Below are 23,681 nucleotides of genomic sequence, written 5' to 3' on the forward strand. Positions count from 1 at the left end.
AGACCCTGTCTCAAAAACAAATAAATGAATAATTTATCAGTGTTTCATGCTGTCAGTAAATCTGCCTTAAACATCTCCTGTCCTAATTAAAAGCAGCTGCTACTACTTATTAGAATTACATCTTAAAGAACTGGTTTCCCATAAGGTCTTTCTATTTTAAAGTAGTGGAACATCCACATGTGTACTTTGTGCTCTCTATTTAGGCTCCTTTGTGCTCTCTGCTGGATTCTGGGTTAATTTTCCTTCAATATATGATGTATAATTTTTTTCTTTTTCTACAGAGTCTAGTAAGATGCTAAGAAAGTTTTATTAATATTCAGTCCACTGAGTTTTGACATAATTTCCCAACTCACAAAAGGCACTGAATTAAAGTCTTTCCAAAGATTTTTATATCTTCTATAATACAAAAACTAAGAATGATGTAAAGCTCATTTTTTTACCTTAACCTTCATAGATTTAAATTCAATTTTCCAGAACCATGGAAGGTAGTAATCAAACTGTTAAACAGAAGACAATACAAATTTATTGGGACTTTGAAAAATGTTTGACATTTAAATTACTTATATTTGAATAAGGGTATGTGATACGTGATTGAAAAAGGTTTAGGCCAGGTGCGGTGGCAATCATGCCTGTAATCCCAGCACTTTGGGAGGCTGAGGTGGGTGGATCACAAGGTCAGGAGTTCGACACCAGCCTGGCAAATATAGTGAACCCCTGTCTCTATTAAAAATACAAAAATATGCTGGGTGTGGTGGCACGTGCCTGTAGTTCCAACTGCTCAGGAGGCTGAGGCAGGAGAATCACTTCAACCCGGAGGCGCAGGTTGCAGTGAGCCGAGATCATGCCACTACACTCTAGCCTGGGCGATAGAGCAAGACTCTGCCTCAAAAAAAAAAAAAAAGGGTTTAAAGCAAATTATAAAAGACACACTAGCCTGTAATCCCAGCACTCTGGGAGGCCGAGGCGGGTGGATCACCTGAGGTCAGGGGTTCGAGACCAGCCTGGCCAATATGGTGAAACCATCTCTACTAAAAGTACAAAAATTAGCTGGGCGTGGTGGCACATGCCTGTAATCCCAGCTACTAGGGAGGCTGAGGCAGGAGAATCGCTTGAACCTGGGAGGCAGAGGTTGCAGTGAGCCGAGATCATGCCACTGCACTCCAGCCTAGGCAAATGAACAAGACTCCGTTTACAAAAAAAAGAAAATAAAAAGAAAAAGAAACACTAGAAAGCTCTTGACTACAGAAGGATCTGTACTTAGGTCAACTCCTCTGAAACTCAACTCTGTGCTGGGATAAATGGAATATACAGCATTAACTCCCTGCCTGATGTAAAACCAATGTACAATCTTTCTTTGGAAGAGAGAGGTTTTCAAACATTGTTTTCATGCAACTTTCCCTGATGGGATTCAAACCATCAAGCCAAACTGCAGTAAGTAGAAACAGTGAGCACTGTAAACCAAAGTTAAAATCTAGTTCTTAGTTGTGCAGAGTAGAATATGAATGAAGATAATGCATTCTCAAATAATTCAGTGACTACAGTCAACTGAAGCTTTGTTTGCCTTACCAGTCATATATATCTGGTTCACATTTCCTATCATCTAGGTCCCCTTTTTCATTATTATTCTGAACATGTCAGTTAACATTTGATTCTCCATAAAATTCATGTTATTTGCCCTTCTACCCTACTCCCAAACAACATATTAATATAAACATGTAATTAAGGGAAGTGAGCAAATGTCTATGGTGTCTGGTGACTTATGAATAAACAGCTTGAAAATAAAAGATTAAATATTTTATAAAAGGACAGGGGCTAGCCCAACCAACCCTAATTAAAAATAAAAATTTTAGCACTTTGGGAGGCTAAGGCAGGAGGATCAATTGAGCCCAGGAGTTTGAGACCAGCCTGGGTAACACAGCAAGACCTTATCTCTTCCAAAAGATACAAAAATTAGCCAGGTGTGGTGGTTTGAGCCTTTAGTCCCAGCTTCTCTCAAGGCTGAGGTGGGAGAATCACTTAAGCCCAGAAGGTCAAGGCTGCAGTGAGCTAGCTATGATCGTGCCATTGCACTCCAGCCTGGGTGACAGAGCAAGGAGCCCCTATCTTAAAAATAATAAAAATAAATTAAAATAAATAAATATTTTAACCCACAGGTTGAGGATAAAATCTTACTCTGTAAGTGAATTCCTTGACTATAGGAACTTAGTTTTAATCTCTGGATTCCTACCAAGTTCCTGGTACTATACACAGCACATAGAAGACATTCAGAAAATAGTTACCTAATAAATAAGGCTAGAATCTGTAACTAAGCAGGTAAAAAGCACATTTTATCTGTTGTGCAACATTTCCAAAAGGTCATTTTAATTTTTAAAAGACAGTGTAACTATTTAAAGGTAGATTGATTTTCTCCCACAGCTGAGATAGTTTTCAGTTTTGTTAACCATTAACGAGTTTACCAGAAGATCTAGAATAAAAAATATATCGTACACATGATGTGACTGTTAAAACCCTAAATAAAACTAATTTTAAGAATAATTTAGAGATTATTACAACCAAAGCCATGAAGTAAAGTAATTAGGGCTTACTGAGAACTCTGAATATACTTAAATCTCCTTATACTGTAGTACAACAGATTTTGTATTCTAAACAGCTGGCTATAAAATAATATTAAAAATATTGACTTGATACCTTACTGAGAAAATGGGACATGAAATGGAGAGAAGAGGGAAAATTCCATTATCCTTCAATAGAATAGAATAAAATTTATTTTTTACAGGTGTTAGAAAATAAGATTAATGCACAATAATTTCTTTGCCTCATATCAGTATTCATATAGTGAAAGCCGTTATTAATGTTATAAAACCACTTATTACACGTAGTTTTATAACATAATTAAAACACTACTATTACATGTGTAATAAGTGGTTTTATAACATTATATGTAGTTTTATAACATTATTTTATAACATTACTTGTCAATATTTTTCCATTTACTTATGTTATCATTCCTTACAATATCTTCAGTTAAGAACATATCACATCATATTTCTAAAACTGAATAAAGAAAATACATATATAACCATATTGTTTGTAACTTATTTCCTATACTAAGGGAAGCTAAGGTCAAGAATCTTTCTTAATCATCGATGGAATCACGAAAGGTAAAGGTTAACACAGACATTCACAAGTTCCATCAAGTACAAGTCTTAATTAGAAGTATATTATGTAATAGAATTCTCTCTATGATGGGATCTGGTATTATGATTTCAGTGATTTCTACCTAACTTTCAAAACATCAACTTGTTTTCTCTCCAAGTAAGTTGGCAGCAGTGGACAGAATGAAAGAATAAGGCCCTTAGCAAATACAGGCTTTTACCAGGGTTTTACAACCTCAGCACAACTGACATTTGGGACAAGACAGTTCTTTGTTGTGGAGAAATGTCTGTGCACTGTAGGATCATTACAGTGTAGGATGTTCAGCAGCAACATTGGTTTCAATCCATTAAATGCCAGTGCCACTTCTTCAACTATGACAATCAATGTGTCCTAGGGAAGGGGAGCAAAATCATTCCTGATTGATAACCACTGGCTTATACAGAACTCTGTGACCAAAAAACTGGGGGAGTTAGCATCTCTGATCTAAGCTTCTGACTTCTCTAATATTCAGTCTAGCTAATGTACACCCTTTGGTTAGGTAAGAGAAGTATTATTATTGTATTCTGAATTTACCTTATTTTAAGAACATAATAAAGATTAATTTTATCCATTACTTGAAATTTCTTTCTTTTTAACATATCTTTTTACATACTGTAATCATTATGTACATATTATTTTGTATGTCTTTTTGTTTTGAGATAGTCTTGCTCTGTCGCCCAGGCTGGAGTGCACTGGTACAATCTTGAGCACAGTGGTGCGATCTTGGCTCACTGCAGCCTCTGCCTCCCTAGTTCAAGCAATTCTCCTGCCTCAGCCTCCCGAGTAGCTGGGATTACAGGCACGCGCCACTACAGCCTGGCTAATTTTTGTATTTTTTGTAGAGACAGGGTTTCACCATGTTAGCCAGGCTGGTCTCGAACTCCCAACCTTGTGATCCGCCCACCTTGGCCTCCCAAAGTGCTGGGATTACAGGCGTGAGCCACCGCGCCTGGCCTATTGTGTATGTTCTTAAAACTTAACATTTCACAAATATTTCCGTATTGTAAAAATGATCTACCAATTTTGCTAGCTATATAACAGTGTGTTAATATTGTTTAGTTAGTCACCTCGCTACTGCTGGACATATGGATTTTTTCCAAATTTCCACTACGAGGGGTGGTCTGCTAAATACACCATTGTGTACATTACTTTTGGGGGTAGGGAGGACAAATGGGGAGAAAAGTTAAATTCCAAATATCATCACAGGATCAAAGCAAACAGGCGGTTGTGCTCAATATGTATAGCTTTCCTTACATATTGATTATAAAATTTAGAAATAAATAAAATCTTAGATCTTACTCAATGTTGAGGGGCTTATCTGATAAAAGATGTATTAGAAAAGATGTGGTCTTACATTTAAAATTTAATTATCAATATTTATAAGACTTTCATTTATCATCACATAACCCAGAAGAGGTTTTTTTCCTTATAAATAACATAGTTATTGCAAAATTTTCACTTTTCCTCATACCCAATCTCTACAAGGGTCTTTCCTTAATTGAAAAAGACTGAAACTTCTTTGAAAATCAGAACTATGATACAGAACATAAAGGGCATTAAACAAATATGAGGGAAAAGGGGATTATATGAAAAACTTAGAAATATAAGTTTGGCGAAATCTTCCAATTTTTATTATTTAGAAAGCAATACTATCTAACAAATTTCAAGTACAATAAGATCAGGTAAAGTTATCAATATCTTAGCTCTATCTTTCAGGAAAACTAATAAATTTTCTACATTAAAACAGGTATTTTTTAAATAAGCAAAATGCAAATTTTATCTGCTAACTAAAACCACAAAAATAAAAACAAAATGTTCTGATTTCTTCTTTAGATCATGAAAGAATGCTATCATGTAAATAATGATGAGAAAGCAAAAACTAAAGGGCTTTGTCAAACTACATATTTATCTCAACCAGAGGTCTCACTTTTAACAAATACCTGGTAGATAAAAATTAAGTTCAGTACCACAGGATCTAAACGATGATGAGGACTTTTTTGACTAAACCCCTAAATGGAGTGATGGGATCAAGTGAACTGCGTATAAATTTCAGAAAATTAAAAGCATTTTTCTCTTCACATTAACCATAAACAAAATTAGTTGCTTTGCAAGAATGAGTAAACAATCTAAATTTTAAAACACTAAGTCTTCCAGTACAATGAGTAGTTCAATGACACAACCTCTAAAAGGTTAAAAAGACTTTGTTATGTAAACATAAAGCTGCTCTAAAAAATAAAGTTTACTAATTAAAAACAAAAAAACTTTTAAAATGGAATGTTTACCTGAGTGAAAAAATGGGACCATTCTTCCCTGCTGCTTTTCTACTTTGGTAGGAAATACTATCTGGAAAGTCCCTGCAGAGAAGCCTCCTGATGCAGCTAGGTGTTTGTATTATATGAATCCATGTTAAATCCTCTATCACACGTGTAATTTCTATCTTTAGTAATGACACTTATAATTTATAAAAAGAAATATTTTATAAATATATTTCCAAAATATTATAATGGAATATATCTTGTTACTGGAGCCATTATCATAGATAATGAATGTTGATAATAAAAGAATTGTTTTGACTCCAGATACTTAGTTTTGACAGTGAAATACTCTTATGAAGATCAGTATTAATACTTCATTTGTCTGACAATAGTGAAGGAAGGCTTCCTATATATAACAATATAACAATATTGTTATTCATAACGATGACCCTCAAGTCATAAAGAAAAGGTTAAATTGTGTTTAGTACAAGGAGTCAGGGAAGTTTTTCCATTAAAGTTGTTTTAGTATCAAAGGTTTACATTTCAGTTATCTAGAAATTCAGTTAAGTGGAACACCTTACTCCCAAATGATGCTAAACTGGCAGTAAACATACATAACATATAACATAACGTAACATAACATAACGTAACATACATTTCATAACATAAACATTCAATAAAGTTAATTCCTAGAATATCTATCACAATCAATATTAGCTTTTGTAAAAAATAAGGAACAATAGATGCAAACTTTTATTGTCTATTTGCTTTTTGCTATGTGGCTGTTTCATTGGTTAAGATAGTCTGTTCATGTAAACAATCTTTTAAACAGTTTAAATTAAGGAGAAAGAGCTCTTATGTTTAGTAATCTCAGTAAGATTATCCCTGCTAAGTACAGTTCCAAGAATTTCTACTTTTTGAAGGGTGGAAAACATATTTTAAAACTAATATGCAAACATCAGGGGGCATGGACAAGTTAAAAGTTTAGAGATACAAATCAAATCAACTAAACCCTAGGGTAATCTAAAATTTTCTGATTAACATGCCCTCAAGGAATACAATGTCAAATATTTGTAGTTTATGCTTTCTTCTTCTGTTTTTTTGAGTCAGGCTCTGGTTCTGTTGCCCAGGATGGAACGCAGTGGCATGATCACAGCTCACTGCAGCCTCGACCTCCTGGGCACAAGTGATCCTCCTGCCTCAGCCTCCTTAGAAGCTGGGACTACAGGCATGCACCACCACGCTGAGCTAATTTTTTATTTTTTGTAGAGACGGGGTCTAGCTATGTTGTCCAAGTTGGTCTCGAGCTCCTGGGCTCAAGAAATCCTCCCACCTCAGCCTCCCAAAGTGCTAAATTTATAGGCCTGAGCCACTACGCCTGGCTGTGGTTTATGTTTTCTTTTATTCTTCTTCTACACAGTACCAATGGAAATGAGGTGAATGGCTTTACAGAAGCCTCTAGAATGCTTGCAGAAGTCTTTTTCTCCTATAATATATACCATAAGTACATAATTCAACTATGTTTAAAACTATGCATTAAAAAATGCTCTAATTTATAATATGGGAATAAATAAAAGTTATGTTTAACTGTAGCATAAAAAATTGGCAACTTTATTTAACAGAATTGTTTAGAACGAAATATGGACACCTCCCTAAAAACAACCTCTGCAAAAAACAGTAACACTCTGATATTTTAAAAAGACTATTCCTTCCCATTAAGGAACAGAATTAGTCCTTTCTGAGCATAAAACATAAAAAAAAAAAAAAACCCTCTGGCTACAGAGTAAATGACATTTACATAACATAAATATTTGAGGAATATATCACAGCAGTAAATTTTAATGAAACAGATGGTCTTCCACATCAAGAGACTGCCTATACACCTAAAGTGTATACGTATAAAAATATAAGAATCTAAACCATTTTTAATGAAAATATTTCCAAAATATGCACTTTTCCACATTCTCAAGTTAATTATTGAACATAATGTTTTCTTGCTAATTGATGACTATCATCATGAGCATTTATTCTCTTAAATTACCATGATACTCTCAGGGTTATCTGTCACACATGAGACTTCTGAAATGCTTAAGGCTGTTTCACCCTAGTACTAAGTAACTTCAGAAGGCTGTACTTTTATGGTACTGCAATCTCCTCCTTTCAGAGTGCTACCAACATGTCTTTCCTAACAACATATAAAATGACTAACACAAATCTGCCGATATCAAACTTGCTGAATCACTAACCATATTTTATACATATTTATATTAACAGGTTCTGAGCATAGATCTAAAAGTGGCTTCATGATATTCCTAAGGCGCAAAACGAAAGGTTTAAAAAAAACGATTTTCTTCAGGTTTAAAGCCTTTCCCATTTATTTACTGGTATGTAATTGTGTTTAAAATCTGTGCATAGCCCAACTATAAATGCTAGTTAAATAGGTGTTATTGATTTAATAAATAGCACAATTGAGTGTTTTACCAAGTATCAGGTGAATAAATATATGCCCTTAAACTCTAGTCTCTCAAGAACAATAAAAATATTAGAAAATGAAAGTAAAGATTAATTATAATTTAGACGATATAGTGAAAGTTAAAAAAAAACTTTCAGCAGATAAAGGTTCTTTAAAAAGTCATATTGTTAAGTATGTGTCAAAATTATCCGGGGCAGTATTAAACAATTTACATCTGTTTTTATGTTACACTGAATTAAAATTTTATGTTACTAAGCAATAAACTTCCATTAAAAGCATATAATTATTAAGAATATTTGCAAGGCAAACATTACCCAAAAAACTACCAGTCAGAAAACAACCAGCCAGTATACTGGGAAATATCTAAAACTATACCTGATACAAACCAGGCAAACAAAATTAATTTAACAGCCCCTGGCACGATTTCTGTCTATTAAAAATGAAAACTAGACCACACAGGAGAAATAAAAGAAACAATGTTTCTATCTTTCATGGTAAATTTTCATGTAATCCAGGAAAACAAGATTTCAAAAAGGCTTTAGGAAAAAGCAGGAATAAATTTTAATGCTGACAATAATAGATAGAACTTTTGGATCAACACCTACCGATTTTTTTCTACTGTTTTCCAGATCTTTGAGTTCATTCTCGATTTTTGTGATTAATTCCCTGAGTTCATCAAGATTAGTGCAAATAAGCTAAAATAAAACACAAAAACACAGCTTGATAACACATAATATAAAACACCCAAAATGTGGTAACAGAAGTTGTTTTAACACACACTGAATTCACAATTATTTTTCTCTGTAATAGTAAAAAGCAAGAAAAGCTCTGCAGTTTATATTTTAAAATATATTTACTTGCTATGATGTATGAACTTCAGGCTTAGTATAAAAGAAGCTGAAATTTCAACATTGGTGGTTTCATCCCACATCCCCACCTTTCAGTTTGCTTTATAATTCGGGTACTTTCTTAACATCATTAACTTTCAGCCCAGAATGACAAAGATCTGGAAACTCACCCTAGATTTCACAGGTTGTCAAATCACCTTTAAGAAATGCTTCATCAGGCAGTCTCCCAGTAGGTGAATAAACACACTCTTGGAGAACTGTTATACCTTTGCCTTGGTTTGCTAACTATACAATTTAACAAACCTTAGTTATTGCTGTTGGGGTTGCTAAAAGGACTGCAACTATATGTAACACATTCAAAGACCTAAACAAAATGAAGTACACATTCTTAATATCAGTTTAGTAGTCTTTAATAAAACCATCTCCACAGATAGCATCTATTTCCTTTCATAATTGTGTGGCTCATTTCATTTCACCTGGTAACATTGGCAAATGGCCAAAATAATTATTAATTACTAACAACTAAACTAGCTTGGTTTAATTACTAAAGTTTTAGTGAACTGTCAACAACAGTAACAAAAATATTAGTAACTACATCTTAGTTTTTGTAAAATTATACTGAATTTCTCCAATTCATTCAATATACTTTTTTCCTAAAATAATTTAAGCTATTTAAAAAAAATTACTGCGAAAAAGAACTAGATTTCTGAAACAAAACTACAACCGAATAGAGAGGAAAAATCTCAGATTAATGAAAAGTCTTATTGTAATGTTTATACCATGTGATAATTAAAAAAAAACTGTACTTATAAATTACTAATTCACCATTAGCTTTTATCAGCCCCAAGTTCGATACATTCATTAATTTCAGTGTCAGGGGACTGTTTTCCTAAAGGGCACTTTCTTCTGTTAGAAGAGCAAACAAAAACAATAAAAGCAAAAGTGGGTCACAACAAGATAATTCCTTGTGGCTACTGAGTGACAAAAATAAGACAGAGCCCCTTAAATTTCTTCTATTAGGTTAAACCATATGAAATTGCTGATATGCTTTTTATCCACAAAAATGGCAAGACAGTTCAACCTAAGAGATTAAGAAAAAATGATCACAGATAATTTTTATTAACAATTACATATTAGGAATATCTATATAATTTCAAATTCATAGAATTGACCAAGTAGGGAAAATATGTATTTAAATAACCCAGATTAAACAATTTGAGAGTAGAAATAATACAATGATGTAGTGGGACAGTGTAGCTGGTATTTATTAGAAACTACACATTCCAATTTGCCAAATTTACTTATGAAAGAAATGCTGATGGTCAAGCAGTGGACTGGCCAACCAGGTAAGTGGGTCTAGAACTAGAGAGCGTCTTCAACTTCTATTGTAACTATGAAGACTTGGAACAATGTTGTCCCTACCGTGGATTTTTATTAAGTATTCAGTGAGGACTAAACTTTTCATAGTATAATCTACTATTATGATGACGGTGTCAAATTTGCCCCAGAGCTTGCAGGTGGATGGCTATACCTCTTTCACCGAACTTGGTGTACTTGTTAATATCAAATCATAGATTTCTTATTTGCACATATGGCAAACCACAGAGGAATTTTTACTTGCATCTCAGTTGTCTCACTACACAAGGAATAGGGTATATTTTGCATGCAGTTTGTAGAAATTTACAGGAACCATGAAGACATATACCCCTAGAACTAAATGAAAACATATACTCCTACAACTAAACATGCCCTAAAACATTTTGAGATCTTTTAATTACCAATTAGTTATGAAGTCAACAGATATTTATGTTCCATTTAAAGGAAGAGATAACACAGTTATCTCTTCATAGAAACTTACAGGAACAATGAAGACATATACCTCTACAACTAAACATGCCCTAAAACATTTTGAGATCTCTTAATTATCAATTAGTTATGAAGTCAACAGATATTTATGTTCCATTTAAAGCAAGAGATAACACAGTTCTGAAGCCAAACCACGAATGAAATCACACAGCTTAAGAGCTACATAAAATAACACTTTCAAGTGGCTGTATCTAGTTAGTAAACTGTACTAAATTAGTACTTTTCAAACTTTAATGTGCATAAGAATTGCATGGGGATCTTAATAAAACAGTTTTTTGTTTAGTAGGTCTGAGGTGAGACCTTGGATTCTGCATTTCTAACAAGTTTCCAGGTATTGCCTGCAAATAACATTTTTGAGTAGTAAGGTACTAAATGACTATGAATTATAAATCAACATGGCTACTGGAACATTCTGGTACCATGGAGCTAATGAGTATGAAAATACAAGATTAATTTCCAAATAGGGAATGGCATATTGAATTAAATGTACGATAAGACAATTGTTTCTTAAAATATTTTTAGCTATAATATTTATTCTGAGGTTATATTAAAATGACGTTAATAGCTACATAACAATTTATACTTTATATATTAAAACTAATATATATTCCCTCTATATGTATATTTAATGTATACCTAATATATATACCCAATATATAGAGTCAAATTAACCTTTTATAAAACTGAATAGGAACACAATTAGTTTGACTTATGCCAACTCGATGTCATATACAACTCTACTACCTCTCTTCTGCCTCCAAAATAAGGCATATATGTGGCCATTACATTCAACTCAACTTCATATGATGTTTTTAAAAACAGAATCAACCCAATAAATAAAGTTCAACTTAAAAAAGGAGAACAAAGATTTTTTTTTAAAAAAGCAAAACACCTTATTAAAACCTCCTTCTCATTATCTTGCATTTGAAAAACGTATCTGAGGCACAGGGCCTGCAGGGGTGAACACGAAACTCCATAGCAGCTCAGATTACAGTCAGGTCACATTGCTAACACTTATGAGAGGAGGTTTTCAGTCAAGCCACAGAGGTTACAAGAAGAGTTTTATCTCCCAGCAAGAACCTCTCCAAGGCTGTCACACTCCCTCAAGTTAACCTTTCATTTAATATAATCCATGGCAGAGCTACAAAATCACAGATCTCAGAGCTGAAAGGGACTAAAAATGTGTAATTTGTCCAAGCCTTAGCCTAGGCTAAAGAGACCTATCTCCAATTCATATAAAAGGTAATTAAACTAACAGAGGTAAAGTGACCTAAGATGACACACTGCTAGAGGAAACCACAGAACCCAGGACTTCTCCTACTATATTATATTCTTTTTAAAAGGGTCTTTATAACAACACAAAAATAAAGAAATCTAACAACTGAACTTGTATTATAGTTTTAGGATTCAGTTTATATCTAAGCTTTCATTTTTATTAAATGGTAATATTAAAAGGTCCTCTCTTCAACTCAACAAGCAGCAATGTATGTATGTGGTGGGAGTGGGGAGGCCCTGTAGAGATAAAAAAAAAAACTCCATGACCGTATCTCAGAACTACATAATAAATCATTCCTTACTTTACTGATACTTCAAACTAGAAATTATGTCCTTTGGATAGAAATTCAATAGGTCTAAAAGATATTTACTTGCTCCAAAAAAGGACATAAGGTAACATTAAAAAATACAAACAATATGGTAGATTATATTAAAAAGCAAAGCAAAAGGAAAACAATGTAGAAAAGTAAAAATGAATAGGTCCAGACAAAAGGGATCACACATTCACTCCCGTTCTAATAAAAAGATCCTGTAATTTATTATAAAAATAATAAGTGAAATACTAAATGCATGGTATAAATTCAAAATTTATATTGTATTTAAACTAAAATTATAATGGCATCTGCTAAAACTATGCAGATGGGAAAATTTCTTTTTATTTCTTATCATCACCATACCAGCAACAAGGACTACTTAAAAACTTGCAAATAAGGATATCACTTGTGACATGAAAGCCAAATTAGTCTGATAAACAACCATGTGATTAAACACAGATGTTTCTCTCAATGAACTATATATATTTTTAAGGGAGAACTATATTAATTTTAAGGGGGAAGAACTCCTGCTGTTAAAAGTGAAACAAAAAGCGGAGGTTAAAAATATTCATTTTAAGAGGGAGCAATTCAAAATAATGATATAATCAAAACATCTTAATACAGTAAGCAGTTAAAAAGCTGATTAAACTAACAGAGGTAAAATGACCTAAGATGACACACTGATAGAGGAAACCACAGAGAATCGCTTGAACCAGGAAGTCAGAGATTGCAGTAAGCCAGGATTGTGCCACTGCACTCCAGTCTGGCGGCAGAGCGAGACTCCGTCTCAAAACAAACAAACAAACAACAACAACAACAACAACAACAAAACCCTAATTTTAATTTTGGTTTCAATTTGTTATGTTGCAGTACTTTATTTCTTATCCCTTAGTTTCTCCATTGGTTAGATGGAGAAGTATAGTTTTTTCAGAGGTATGTTAAGGATCAGTGAGTTTTTTCTTATGTTTGAAAACAATGTAATATAAGTCTTAGCAGCTGGATTCTGGAGTTCTTCTGCAAAGCAGCCTTTAAAATCAATCATGCATATGAAATGGGAGCAAGGGCACACTGCATGGAAGATTTTTTTTTGGTTATTGTTGAAAAGCAGACTTAGGGTAACTAAGGCTGTTAAATTATTTTTAAAACTTATGTTATTGAGACTCAACACATTAGTTTTTAAAAATACTTCCTGTAACTTTCTGTCATAATTATGTACAAAAGATAAGTCATATAACATTAGATTTCTCTCTTAAATGTTAAATGAAAAGACTTTTTAGGAAAAAGTAACTATTAGGAAAACTGATATTCACTTTTCAGTCTAATAGTCTTTCTTTGATTACAAAACAGATAAAGGAAAAAGAATTTTACCAATTTAACAAAGTCGTAAGTAAATGTTAAAGTTGATATAAAAGCTTAAATCACCAATATTCTATAATTATCACTAAAAAATCCAACAATTTCCCCTACATGACAAATATATAATGCATCATAACAATACAACAGGGATAAACGTAAGTTTTCACTCTCATCAAACATAATGATGCAAATACTATTACTTGGTTTTCCACTTTTCAAATTCTTGTAGGCTTAATCATGTGCCACTTTCATTAAGACCAAATCCAAGATTTATTTCAAGGTTTTAAGTAAATGGAAAGAGTGCTAAGGGTCAATAATAGATGTTTTTATGCCATTTTTAATTGATTTTCCTATTCATAATTCAGTGTTTTTCACCAGAAGCGACTGACCTGCTTATTTGAAAACAATAAAAATGGCTAAAACAGTAAGCTGTATCATTCAATCCTCACAACTCTACAAGGAAGGTACTATTATTACCCCACTGTACAAATGAGAAACTGGAATCATGGAGAAGTTAAATACCTTACCCCACAGAGTTAATCAGTGGTAGAGCTGGCATTCAAACCCAAGTAGGTAGCCTGGTTGCAGAACCCTTGTGTTTAACCACTATGCAGATTACTGGTACCCACTGAATCAAGGTCTTTTGGAGGATGAAACCAACAATCTTCATTTTAAATAAAGGTATCACATTATTTTTATACTATCTAAAGTTTGAGAACCACTGACATAACTCTTAGGAAAAAGTGGCACACATTTGGTTAGACCCTTTACAATATACAGTCGTCCCTCGGTATCCGTGGGGTACTGGTTCCAGGACTCACCTCTGAACCCTGCGGATACCAAAATCCAAGGATGCTTAAGACCTTGATATAAAGTGGTATAGTATCTGCATATAACACATCCTCCCATATACTTTAGGTCATCTCTACATTACTTATAATACCTAATACAATATAGTTGTGATATAAATTGTTGTTATATCATATTGTTTAGGGAATAATGACAAGAAAAAAAATCAGTACATGTTTAGTACGGACACATTTAAGAAAATATTTTCAATCCAAGGTTGAATGCACAGATGCAGAACCTACAGATACAGAGGGCTGACTGTACACACACACACACACACACACACACACACACACACACACACCCCCACCCCACCCTGCCACACATACAAATCCAATCCACCATTTGAATGCTCACAGTGTATACTCTAAATAGGAGTAGGATGATTATTTTCTAAACCTGGGTGCAGATATTAGGTGTGTATATAAACATGGATTCTTTCTGAAGCAAATAGGGGGGCAAGTTCAAGTTCTAGCTTTAAAAAAAGTCAACAAAAACATTGTCAAACTAAAAAGCAGCTGAGGTCAAAACATTTTTAAAAACTCATTAGGACTTAAAAAAAAAAAACTTCACAATTTAACCCTTTCATTTATCTCTATCTAAGCATGCTTTCTGTCAATTTAAAGAAGACTGGTCCTTTGGCAAACTGGTCAGGTTTTACAAAAGGGATCTATTATCTATCCAAAAACAGGTTCATTATTTTCAGAAGCAAGATATTTCAGAATGAATAATATGAAGATCTTCTGACTAAATATTTCTATATTTTTATGTTTAATGCTAGAAATGTGATATTTAAAACACCTTGAACAAAACAAATAATTTACAGAATCTGAGGTGCTAAATACCATATCGCTAGAACTTTTGGGCAGGGAATGAATTCACTTTATTATATAATAGTCTTCTTACATGTGGAAGACTCAAATAAAGTAACACACTACATAAAATTATTTTGAGAGACAAAACTAAGTTTTGCATTTAACAGCAAAGTTTACTAGTGACTAGCACTATCTCCTATTTTATTAATGTGTGTATTTGAAGCAAATGATCTATTTCCCTGTGAGACAGTTGCCAAGTTTCTTTATGAGTAATGCCGTGGTATTCATATTGTAAACTAGGCATAAGAACCACTGTTTTCATGAGACTATTACTCCTCTCTATCCTCTCTCTCTCTCTTCTTCCCTCTCTGTTTTCTCTCCCTCTAGGACACCTTGAGAACCAGGAAGAGACTTATTTATTTATTTATTTATTTATTTATTTATTTATTTAGAGACAGAGTTTCCCTCATTGCCCAGCCTGGAGTGCAATGGCGTGATGTTGGCTCACTGCAACCTCTGCCTCCCAGATTCAAGTGATTCTCCTCTCTCAGCCTCCCGGGTAGATGGGATTACAGGCACATGCCACCACACCCGGCTAATTTTTTTTGTATTTTTAGTAGAGATGGGGTTTCATATAGGTCAGGCTGGTCTCGAACTCCTGACCTCAGGTGATCCGCCTGCCTCGGCCTCCCTAAGTGCTGGGATTACAGGTGTGAGCCACTGGGCCCGGCCAAGACCATTTTAAACAGCTCAATCTGGCAAAATATTTTGACCATGACCCATGGTCAGCAACACATTTTACAATGCATATCCTTGTGTACACACATACAATTGAAACCAAAGTTTCACGAAACAATATATGTGAGTGTACATATTCACACTGCTATGTGTAGCACACTTACTATATGTAATTGTGCTGATTTCTTTTCTAGTTTAATTTTGTTAGCTTAAAAAAGAAACACTGGTCATGCAATCTGCTAAAATGATTTCATGCCTCACTAATGAATACCACTGCAATTTTAAAAAACACTGGCTATGCAGCCTGTGCTACTTAATATATGGAAAAGTCTATTCACTAAGATGGGTATAGAGGAAATATTAACAATGGGCCAGATTTGCTCTAACATCTACATTCCCAGGGCTGATGCTTTGAGGACTGAGAAAAACAAAAGTCGGAGAAATAGTAAACACAGGTGTGACAGCAGTGGACGCGTGATGATGTAATACTAAAGCATTAAAATATGTTACAAGAAGTGGTATAAAGGCCTCTAAGTAAACAGTAAAATTGTTATTTTTTTATTAACTACTCTGCAACCAAGGTTATATAATATATAAAAGGATTTTGTAGAAATGTTTGTAATTCATCCTAAGAATATCATTAAAAATATTCTATTCTACAGTACTAAGAGAAAAACATGTCTATTTTCTTTAACTGTTGATTTAAAAATGTTAAATTTTTACCAGTTAGTAACTTCCATAAAAACACTCTCCAAAATAGAATTTTTACTGAAAATGAATGTGTCCACATTTTTAGATATATCTAACTATTAAACTCACATTATATATTATCAATATTTTCATAGCTATTGTCCCTTTATTTTCATCTCTACTTGACTTGAGACTCACAAATTCATCTGAACACCACTTTTATCTTTTGGTCATTAGGTATGAGTTTATAAAACTTTTGAAAATTGACTAGACACATGAATACAAAGACGTTTTTAAAGAAAGTGTTTATTGAAGAAAATACATCTTTTATAAAATAGAAAATAAAAGCATTAATTAGGGTGAGATTCTCTGCTTAGTATTAGCTACAAATAAAAAACTCTTCACTTAATCATATGGCAGTACAGATAATTACTTTTTCTTTCCACAGAAATGTTTAAAGACCATTTCAATTAACCTTTACTTAATATTCTCTCTGAAGATCATATACAGCTAAGAGTTGAAAGATTTGTTTTCCAAGTTAATAAATCTACCATTTATTTCTACAGTGCCCAAATAAATGAAAACGAACTATCTAGGCACTATTACCATCTCCAAATTATGATTTGTTCTTGGAAGAGTTTCATTCACACATTTGCTTTTATGTATTATATATATATACATACACACACACACACATATACTATATAGTATATATATATTATTTCTATTAAACTGCTTCTAGGAAATGTACTAGTAGAGATTAAGATATAAAAAAGGGTTTTTATTATTAAAAGACAAAAATAGAGGTAAAAATTACGAAATACTAGCAGATTAAATCTTGGTTACATCTGCACTTGCAGGGAGAAAAGTCACTGTCAGAAACATTTCATTACAAGTAAGTGTGCTACAGTTTCTTGGAATTCAGCCAAACTCTCGAGGAATGATATGAACACTGAAACAAAAAATTGAAAAATTTCGAGACAAAGTTGAAACATTTACCTGAAACTCTGGTACAGTAGGTGACTTTATGACAGTTTTCCTCTTCTTTGTGATTGCTTTTTTAGAGACGGATTTTTTTCCTTTCAAGATTAAAAGAGAAAACCTTCATAATGCTGTTTATAGCACTTCATTAACAAAAAACAAATTACGCAGATCCTTGAAAGTTAAATTGTAACTAACAGATGGCTGCTAGTGAGTCAAATAAAAATGATGAATCAAAACAAGCCCCAGTAAAAGCAAACATTAAACTATTAACTACCTGTTAACAGACATATTAACAAATGCTGTTTTATGTTTATATGAACTGAACGATTACCATCTCCAATGTGTTATACGGTAGAATCTACTGCAAGATTAGGCAAAAAAGTCACATTACTACTGCTTAATTAAAATCTACATTTGCAACTTAAGATGAGACTACATAGGGAAAAAAACCTTACCTTTAACATTGACTTCGCAGTCAGGAACTTGCATAAGAACTACAGCTGAAGACTATGGTCTCTAGCCAGCCTAATGTGAAAATCCCCTTAAGTAGCTTAGGTAACAAAGTTTTTCTACTCCTTTAGCTCTGCACTCACCTAATAGGCTGCCCTTGGCGGTATCAATACCCAAAGTTTTAAAAGAAGATAAACATCTCCCTTTAAAGTGCACCTAGTTATTTGTGGAATCAGAAACCACTGGAAAAAAATAAACCTCATACTTAGAGCCAATTCACAGTATACACTGAAATATATCTACTTTTTGTATTTAACGTGACAAAAAAATACATACATGCATAAAAATTCTATTTTTAGACCAGGCGCGGTGGCTCACACCTGTAATCCCAGCACTTTGGGAGGCCAAGGCAGGCGGATCACCAGAGGTCAGTTCGAGACCAGCCTAGTTAACAGGGCGAAACCCCGTCTCTACTAAAAATACAAAAATTAGCCGGGTGTGGTGGTGCGTGCCTGTAATCTCAGCTACCTGGGAGCCTGAGACAGGAGAATCATGTGAACCTGGGAGGTGGAGGTTGTAGTGAGCCAAGATCGCACCATTGTTCTCCAGCCTGGGCAACAATAGTGAAACTCTGTCTCAAAAAAAAATAATAATAAAATAAAATTCTATTTTTAGTTAGAAACACATTAAAAGTTTTCCCCCAATTTGTAATTAGCAAAATCAATTAACAAACTGCTAATTACTCAACAAATACTAGATACAGGACACTGTACAAGCTACGGGGACAACAAGGAAGTAAAAAATTATAAAAAAGAAAAATCCTATCCTCTAGGAGCTTACAATCTACACAAGGGCACAAAAAATATTCAGCAATACTTTTCTGTCATTTTTAGTTCACAATCATTTGCAGACTAAAATCCACTTAAATGTCAATATTTTTTTCAAAAGGGAAAATGAATGCGTACATAAAGTAACTTTGCTGTACATAATCCTAATGCTCCTTTCCAAACATTTTCCTATATAAATATAATCATCTTGCAAGAAATATGTCAACTCAATTGACACAATTCCAGTTTATAATTTGTTTTTTGTATTACTTTTTAATCATATCGCAGAACTGTAATTTATAAAATTTCTAACTTTTGGCTCAATGAAATCCATGTATACTATGACTGAACTGCAAATTTTGAGTTGCTGAGGTTCACAGGGGTTTAACTGTCTTATTTTAATAAGTATTGACGGGTATCATTTGACATCTGCTTTCAATTAAATTAAAATAACCCAACATATATTTCTTTATTCACCATTGTTATTTACTTCTGTGCTTACACAGTACCTTATAACAGAAGTATACTCCTACAAAGATAGGTAAGTGGGTGGGCTGCTTAAATAAGCAATACTCAGGGAGAAGTGATTAAATTCTTGATATCTCTATAATACAGCTAGTAATTGATTCCTAAACTGAGTGCCATAAGTATTGCTGAAGGGGGCTCATGAATTTGAATGCCAAGATGCCTTTCCTCTATACACTGCCTTTACCATTTTTTAAAGTTCACAAGAAAAAACTGAATGATCTTGCTGACTTATGTATGGGAAGGTTTTATAAAAACAGTAATTTGGAGGAAATAAAATTCTTCCTCAACCTCTCCCCACCAGCCCTACTCTGATTAGCTTAAAAAAAAAGCGCCATTTGATTTTGTATTCATTTATAAGCACAACAGAGGTCACCCTTGATAGTCCCATGAATTTCATCTTATTGTTACACAGGCACTAAACACAGGTACTAAATTCTCAGTTAACTCTAGCAGCTACTCTATTTGAATGGACTGAGAAGCTAAGGTGGTTACTTGGTATTTCAGTTCACCACGTCATTAGGATGCTTAAATGTTATTAGGAAATTGGAGGTAATGTTACATATTGGTTATAAGCTTGAGTTTTAGAACTAAACTACCTGGGTTTGAGTGCCTGCTACAACCACCTACTATTATAGAGGTCATGTATAACAGCTATCACATACAAGACCTTGAGCAAACTGCTTTATTTCTTTGTGCAGTTTCTTCATCTGTAAAACAAGGGATAATAGTATTACCTACTCTGTGAGAATTAAATGGGTTATAACACCCCAAAAGCTTATACTACTGCTAGGCACATGGTAGGTGATCAATAAATGTTAGCTATTGCTTTAGCTTTAGCTAAGCTATGGTGAGAAAAGCCTAAACAGAAAATCTTTTAATTTTCTTTAAATTCTTTTTACTTACTCCATCTCAGTTCTTCTTATGCATGTCCTCTAAACTACCACTCTACTTTGTACACAAATCAATGAATGTAATACTTAACTTAGAGTACTGTAATTGTCTGTTCTTATGTTTGTCATCCTTACTATACTGTAAATTATTGGTGACAGAAATCACATTATTCACTCTGTATTTACAGCATTTAGCACACATAAGTTCTAAGAAGTGATCCCTAAATACAAGAATCCTACTTTTTTCAGAAATGTCACCAACAGTCTAGGGGGTAGGAAAAGGGATGCAGGTAACTGTTTACAATTCTGAGGGTCCATTTAAGTCTACTTTATAGTGAAGAAAACACTGACAACGATTTTAAATAATTTAAACAATTCACCAAAGAGTTTCAACATGACCTAGTAGTGGTAGTAAGAAGATTAACATTTATTGAGAACCTGCTGTGTGTCAGATACTTAGTAAAGTGGTCTGTATAAATTAACTTATTTATTTCTCAATATAACCCTCCCAGGTAGGTAATAACTCTACTGTAATACTGGATAACTGAAGATCAAAAAGATTAATTAACTCACTCATGTGTCACACAGTAAGTAAGCACCACAGTCAGGGATTCTAACTACAAAGTCTAAGCTCCTTCCATTATGTAATTCTACTGCACAAATATCTTAAGTTACCATTTATTGATTCCTACCATGTGCCAAGCTCCAAGTGACATACTGCGCATTTGTTATTCTAATTAATCTTAACAATACAGCCAAGTAGGTATTACCTCACTTATCACAGATAAAGAAACAGGCTATAAACAGGTAAAGAAACTGATGGAGGAGCTGTAGCTAATATGCACTAGGAGCATACATGTGAAATTAGGTCTGTCTCACTTCAAAGCTGTACTCTTTTTATGGTAAAATACTGCATTCTTTCAAATTTTTGAAAGGGATGTAATCTGCTTCTGTTTGGTTCAGAGCATTCCTTTTTATTAGGGTTGGATGATTTGTACATTTACTATTTTTTAATACCTTCAGTATATATCCTGAAAAAAACAATTTCAGTATAAATTTTCCTGTATTCTTCAGTAAAAACATCAGCACTTCAAAAAAATTAAATATTATTTTAAAAATCGAGCATGAGATACTACAAAATCATGCCTTTATTTGGTAACCTGTTTTTGCTTCAGGACAAAATATATACAGGGCAAGTTACATACTACCAGTGGGCTTCCCTTCCCTTATCACTCAACTTGATCATATCCCAGGCCTTTTACTTCCACTGCCCTAAGTTACTTGGTCATATAAAATAGAATAAAATTCTCAAACCTATAATTATGCTGAAATCAGAAGTCAAATTAAAACATACACAGAATTTCAATACCACTCTTGAGCCTAAAACAGAAAGTGTCAGCCTGTACCTGGAAAATGCATAAGGAAACATTAATAAACCTTAATAATAAACCTTAGTAATTAATGTTACAAAAGTATACCCTAATGAAGCTTTCTAAAACACTATGCTTAGAACAACTTAAGAAAAGAATGCCCAACCTGAGAGGGAAAATTATAACTAAAGATATATTTTATACTGTAACTGAGGAATAAAACTCTAGTTTTCTAGAATCTGGAAATATGCCTTTTATAAAAGAAATGGCATATTTCTTTACATAAGAAGGTGATTATCATCCCCCTTTCAGTTCCCCTTTCTCAGTTTCTTATTCCTCATTCTTTACCCTTCTCCTTCACCTGGTTTTCCTGTCTTCACTCCTCAGACCTCTGGGCTACTCATACTCAGACTTCCACTTTAAGCCAAGTGTGGTGGTGCATGCCTGTGATCCCAGCTCGCCTGTGGTCCCAGCTACTTGGGAGGCGGAGGTGAGAGGATGGCTTGCGCCCCGGAGTTCGAGGCCAGGTGGGCAACATAGCGAGATCCTGTCTCTCAGGGAGGGATAGGAGGAAGAAAAAGAACAGAAAAAAAAAGGTACTTCAATGCTTTCCTAGATTTAGCCTTTCCATGTTTTAAAATTATCCCAACACATTCACTCCTCCCTCTGTACTTTCGCCTTAGGAACCTTAATAAATAAATGAATACTAAGATATTAATCATTGTTGCAAGTAAAAACTCAAGGGTATTTGTATTATTAAACAGTGAATTTGCAAAGTGCCTGGGATGTAAAGTCACAGAACTAGAGCCTAAACTTGTCTTTTATTTACTAAATGTGCATGTCTTGAGCTAACTATATTCTAGGAGTTTCTGGAGTGTTCTATCTCAAGTAAGCAATTTGACCTTAACAAAACAGTTTATTTTCCTTTTATTCTTCTTACCTATAAGCAAATTTCTTATCATACTGGTAATTCTTTAACGCTATCACATAATTCAGTAACTCCTGAACACCCATTTCTTTTTACCCTTTAACTTAGAATATTGAATCAGTTGCCAAATTCTGCTACTTATTGCAGCATCTCTCTCAAAATAGAATTTTCTTCTATCATTGTGATAGAAAAGTCACATAATCAATCCTTACCTGGATTTAGAATTGTCTCGTTATAGTTATCATCTACCCCTTCATCTTACCCCTGCCAGCTTCTTTTCATAGCTCTTTAATGGTATCCTAATTATCTTGCAAGATCCTTTCTCCTAATCCTGTCACTTACTAGCTCTAGCTGTGTGACTTTGGACAAATAAATCTCCATCTCAATTTTTAAAAACCTCTAAAATCTGTAATAATGGGGAATAATAGTAATATTTATTTTTTGAAGTCTTCATGAAGATTAAATGAGATAGCATGTATAAAGGCTTAGAACAGTGCCTGGCATACAATAAGCACTCAATGAGTACTCGGTTTTTTAGACAAAAAGTAGAAGGATTGAAAAAATAAAAGGACATGGAGTATAGTAAATCCTTTCACTCTCTTTATATTTTGAAATCTTCAGCTGGTATGCTAAAAGTTTTCTCCGTAAGACACATGTAGTTAGGGTCTCTAGTGCTATCACTACAGAACTATATAATAACCTTTTCACAGATACGGGCCTGGAAATAATCAAACACTGTAGATTACATTACCTTCTCAGTCATTTCCTATAAAGCAGCTCATTACTTTTTACACATCTGATATATCTTATTTCAAGCTCAATTCCTTGCAATGGAATCTTGATTCAATTATTTAACATAGTACCACATGCTTAGAAAGATCACCCAAAAATGACACCCTTCTATCATTCGAACAGCTTCTAAAACCTCAACTTTTCCACAAAAGTTTTCTTTAATTGTGCTTCTTCCAGTGACACCTCACTTAATTATACCTCTATGCTTTTGCTCGTGTTATTCAACATTTTCCACCTA

The 23,681-nt window shown here is 33.6% G+C and overlaps 1 protein-coding gene across 15 annotated transcripts in view; it reads right to left on the reverse strand.

Moving 5' to 3' along the window:
* Positions 1-23,681, reverse strand: part of BRD10 (bromodomain containing 10) — a 129,649-nt gene that overhangs the window by 57,509 nt on the left and 48,459 nt on the right. For 13 of the 15 annotated variants that reach the window (XR_007061251.1, XR_007061249.1, XR_007061250.1 and 10 more), the window contains exons 4-5: positions 17,674-17,753; positions 8,529-8,618 (exon numbers count right to left, since the gene is read on the reverse strand). Coding sequence is in view for 7 of the 15 variants with exons in the window: in XM_011517760.4 (XP_011516062.1) it covers positions 8,529-8,618; positions 17,674-17,753 (170 nt within the window). In the remaining 8 variants the exon portion in view is untranslated. Of the gene's footprint in view, positions 1-8,528; positions 8,619-17,673; positions 17,754-22,084; positions 22,197-23,681 lie in introns of those variants that run through there. The other 2 variants (XM_047422860.1, NM_001438917.1) reach the window with 2 other exon arrangements.

This window comes from Homo sapiens, chromosome 9 (genome assembly GCF_000001405.40).
Source record: "Homo sapiens chromosome 9, GRCh38.p14 Primary Assembly".
Classification (NCBI taxonomy): domain Eukaryota; kingdom Metazoa; phylum Chordata; class Mammalia; order Primates; family Hominidae; genus Homo; species Homo sapiens.